The sequence below is a fragment of the Homo sapiens genome, chromosome 8, assembly GCF_000001405.40.
Source record: "Homo sapiens chromosome 8, GRCh38.p14 Primary Assembly".
In the NCBI taxonomy this organism is placed as follows: domain Eukaryota; kingdom Metazoa; phylum Chordata; class Mammalia; order Primates; family Hominidae; genus Homo; species Homo sapiens.
In genome coordinates this window covers 65,215,771-65,220,737 of record NC_000008.11, presented here as the reverse complement: position 1 = coordinate 65,220,737, position 4,967 = coordinate 65,215,771, and the positions used below count along the sequence as shown (strand labels likewise).

At 41.2% G+C, this 4,967-nt stretch overlaps 1 long non-coding RNA gene across 1 annotated transcript; it reads right to left on the bottom strand.

Moving 5' to 3' along the window:
• Positions 1-330: 330 nt before the first annotated feature.
• LOC105375881 (uncharacterized) lies at positions 331-4,760 on the bottom strand. The gene is made up of 3 exons (XR_928996.1): positions 4,672-4,760; positions 4,347-4,506; positions 331-409 (listed from the first exon to the last, which is right to left on the bottom strand). It is a non-coding gene; the product is annotated as an uncharacterized LOC105375881 (long non-coding RNA).
• Positions 4,761-4,967: the final 207 nt, after the last annotated feature.

Below are 4,967 nucleotides of genomic sequence, written 5' to 3'. Positions count from 1 at the left end.
CTTTGAAATGTAAATCTCACATTAAGTTACCATTCTGCTGTATTTTGTTAACTGTTTCTGTTCTCTTGGTATTAAAAAAAAAAAAGTCTGTTGCTTTATGCATACCTGAGCTTCCACAGTACAATTCTCCCCCTTTAAATCAGTGACATGACTTAAAATTAGATGTGAAGGTGAGGCTTGTAGGAAAAGAGTTATAGGAGGACATAGCAGGGTGTCTTAGTCCATTTGTGCTGCTATAACAGAATACATGAGATTGAGTAATTTATAAGAAACAGAAATTTATTTCTCACACTCTGGAGACTGGGAGGTCCAAGATCAAGGTTTCAGCATCTGGGATTGGCCTTCTTGCTGTGTCCTCACACGGCAGAAGGTGGAAGGGGAAGACGAGATGAAGGCTGTGTCTTCTGCTCTGCAGAAGAGAGAGAAGACACTTTTGTAAGCCATTTTTATAATGGAATTAATCCACTCAGAAGGCCAGAGCCCTTATGACCTAAACACCTTCCACTAGGCCCCACTTCCCAGCACTGCTGTATTGGAGACTATGTTTTCAACACTAGAATTTTGAGTCATGGATTCAAACCATAGCAAAGGGTATGAATGTGGGAATGTCTATTTCTCTATCTTTGACTTATTTAACAAACTCATCAGTAGTCTTTGTTGTTCTAGCAGTGGTATTTTTTTCAGCTGCAGTATCATTCCTTACAACTATGACTCATTTTTGGTTTTGTGGGGAAATTTAGGTGAATATGGATAGCACACCTGGCAGAGTGTGTAGCATGCAGGATGTCCTCTCTGAACTCAGCTTTTCTTCCCTGTGTCCTGCCTCCTTTGCTGATGCTACCTTTCTCCCTGATTTCTTCCCACTGTCTAACATTATCCTAGCTTCTCCAAGGTTGCTCTGGTTCCCTCTACAATCAACCTACATCATAGGAAATTTCCCACAAAGATATCTTCTTGTTAGTTTAACCACCTGTGGAAAAACTCTACTGCTTTATCTATTTGTAAGCTTGTTATGCTCTGGTTTGTATCTTCAAAAATATTTAGAATTGTTTAAAGGAGGCTTGGCCCCTTTAAAAAGCAGCTTCAGCACACAGGATGACACAGGCACTGATGAAAACCAAAGCTGTTGAGAGCTACAGCTGTCTGGTCCTTTCGTATGCAGATTTATGGAACAAGGAGGGGGAGTTTGAGAATGAGCTGAGGCAAGACTCACAAGAGAGTTGGCAAACACGCGGTGAAGAAGTCATGCTTCAGTCTCCCAGGAAATGTAGGCTGACACAAAGAATCAATAGCATTTAGAGTTGGACAGGACATTTATACCCCAATAATGTCATCTAGTCCAATCTCCTTATCTTACAGAAAGGGCAAATGATTTGCTGAAGGTCACAGAGCTAGCAAATAGAGCTTCAGAAAAGTTCTGAGGCCAAGGTTGCTATTCTTTTCGCTATCTGTTGCCCAGAGCTGGACACATAGTGGTTTGCTAATATATACATGTCTAATGAACGAATGATTGGAAAAAAGCATTTGTGGTAACCAATGGATGTGTTATATGCATCTAAAATCTTCCTGAATAACATTAAAAAGTTAAGCATCAAGGAGAGAGAAGGTGGACAAGTAAGTCCTGTTGTATTGGTAGTTTTCTTTGGATGAAGTCATATTTATTGGATGATTTAGTTCTTAGAAAACCTGAAGTGCCTGCAAGGCCTTCAATGGGCACTGACTGTTGTGAGCCACAAAAATGACTGAATGAAGGTGAGCAACTAATCCCAGGTTAAAGTTAAATATTTTAATAAAGAAAGATGGTTTTTCAAAACTTCACAGTTCTTTTGCTTTCAGATAGCATACAAATTGTACCCCATTTTCTGCAATTTTTTTGGTGGCATATAATGTCTTACTCTTAGGAGTCATTTTATACCTATTTCTTCCTTGAGTTTTGCAATCCAATTCTGCTGCTAACTACCTGGAGTTACTGCAAACTTCGCAGGTTACAGCACAACCTCCCACAAGACTCTCCTCTCTTCAGATACCAGCTGCAAGTTCAAGCGTTCTGAGGTCTTTAGCAAAACAGTTTTTGTTTTTTTACACAGCCATACAACATTGTATAGAACATTTCACTTCGGGCCAACAAAATGTATATGTTGAGGGGGATGGATTTCTCCCTACCAACAATTAATTCTCCAGTGGACACCAATGGAATGTCCTACAATTTATCTCAATTTGACACTATCTACCTAGAGATCGTGTCAGATCCCACAGGTTCAGCTCTCAGTCCCATAAGACTTCCTCCCACTTCAGATGCCAGTCACAAGTCCCCAGTTGTGACCTGTGCTTCTGACCAACCCACTATAAATTGGGTGTCTCCATGGCTCCCTCTTCGTTTGATTAATCTGCTAGGACAACTCACAGAACTCAGGGAAATGCTTACTTACATTTACTGGTTTATTATAAAGAATACCATAGGATGGGTGTGGTGGATTATGCCTAACATCCAGTGCTTCGGGGAGCTGAGGCAGATCACTTGAGTCCAGGAGTTCAAGGCGGCAGTGAGCTATGATTGTGCAACTGAATTCCAGCCTACGTGACAGAGTGAGGTTCTGTCTCTTAAAAAAATATGACAAATGATATAGACGAATTGAATGATGATTGATGAATATGGGAAGAAGCACAGACCCTCCATGCCCTCTCTGGGGATGCCACCATCCCACCACCTCCACGTGTTCAGCAATCTGGAAGCTCTTTGAACCTTGTCCTGTTTCTTATTTTATTTTATTATTATTTTTTTTAATGGAGACTTCATCATGTAGCCATGCTTAATTCCATCATTGGCCACTGGCGATCAACTTAACCATCAGCCCCTTTCCTCTCCTCAGAAATCAGTTCGTCGGGAGTGGGGGTGGGGGGTGGTCCTGAAAGTTTCAGTGCTCTAATCACATGGTTGGTTCCCTGGGCAACCAGCTCACATCCTAAGGCTATCCAGGACCCGCCAAGAGTCATCTTATTAGCACACAAGATGCTTCTGTTACCAATTCCAAGGGATTTAGGAGCTCTGTGTTAGATGTTACTACCACTCAGAAATTGCAAAGATGTTAGGAATTCTATGTCATGAACCAGGGTCAAAGACCATATATTAGAACAAAAGATTCTCCTAGCACTTCTGTCTCCAAGGGGCTTAGGAACCCTATCTCCTGACCTTCAGGCAGAGGCCAAATATATATTTCACAATATCACCCAGTCCACTCACACCTTAGACTAGCTGGTTACAAATTTGAGTATTTCCCCTACCCCGTAAGTTTTCATAATTCAATATAATGAACAGAACTCAAGAATTTGGAATTACAGTTTCATTAGAAAGGATACATATCAGGACAAGCTGAAAGAGGCCCCAAATGCAAAGTCTGGGAGTGTCCCAAGAAGCTTCTGTGTCCTCAGGACATGTGTCACCTTTTGTCTCAGCCAGCTTGGGCTGCTATAACAAAATTTCATAAACTGGGTGAATTAACATTTATTTCTCACAGTTCTAGAGGTGGAAAGTTTGAGATCAGGGTGCCAGCAGGGTCAGGTTCTTGGTGAGGGCCCTCCTGTAGGTTTACAGGCAGCTGTCTCCTAGCAATGTCCTCACATGGTGTAAAGCAAGCAAGCTAGCTCTCTGACACTAATCCCATTCATGATGGCTCACTCTCCCAAAGGCCCACTTCCAAACACTATGGCATTAGGAATTAGATTTCAACGTGTGAGTTTTGGAGGGTTACAAACATTCCATCCATAACACATTCCAATGTGTATTTCCACCAAGAAGTTCACCTGTGCTTCAGTGTCTAGAGTTTTTATTGGATTTTTATTATGTAAGCCAGATTGATTGAATCATGGTCATGTGACTGAGCTCAATTTCCATTTCTCCTCCTTTTCCTAGAGGTTAGGCTGATGTCATGTGGCTGAAAGCCCCAACCCTTGAATCACATGATTGGACTTTCTGATGTGGCCAGTCCCCATCCTGAGTCACTTTAACATAAACTATCAGGACCCACCAGGAATAACAAAGACACTCCTATCACTTGAGAAATTCTGAGGATTTAGAGGGAACCTCCCAGGAACAAAGTACTTACTCTACAATAATCGTATTACTCTAACCATCAATATTTTATTAAATAATATACTTTGTTCAGAAAGAGAAAGAGATGAATCTGTATAAATAATTATTCTAACTGACAGCTCTTCCAGAGAGATTTCCCCATTCTCTGTGCTGCCTGCCAAAGTGATTTTGCTCTCTGGTCCAAATCACTGAGATTTATAGACACCAGATCCCTTGACTATTAATAAGTACTGAGGCATGTGCCCTACTGACTCACCACTGCCAAGGACAAACTGCCATGGTACCACTTGGACGACTTGGTGCTGCTGCTGCTCCTCTGGGGAAGAGGGTGGTTTTAAATCTCCAACCACAGTGTTCTTTCACTTCTCTGCCATTCTCCTACTCTGGGTTAACTCTTGCACAGCCTGTTTAATTAGCTTTGTAAAATAAACAGTATAGTTACAGCATTCAATTTTGCTACTAATATAAATTGCTAACATTTATTGAGCACTTACTAAGCGCAAGAAATGGTGTTAAGCTCAGCACATACATTATCACATCTAATTCTCAAAACATCCCTATGCAATGAGGACTGCTCTTACCCTTATTTGCAAGATAAAGAAGTGGTTGTTCCCAGAAGCTAAGAAATGGGACCTTGGTCCCTGAGGCAGTCTGTGGCAGAGCTACTGGGGCCCATGTCCTCATTTGGCTGATGCCAGAACTCTAACTATTAATCATATACTATGCTTACTGTTTTCACTGCACTGTGAGCTCATATTAGGGTATAAAGCATAGGTGAGTGAGAAGTTTTACATAACAATGCTACTCAGTGTGGTTATTACCTGTTTCAAGTTTCCATAGTTATTTCCGTTAGTCCTACTTTAACTTTACTTCTACT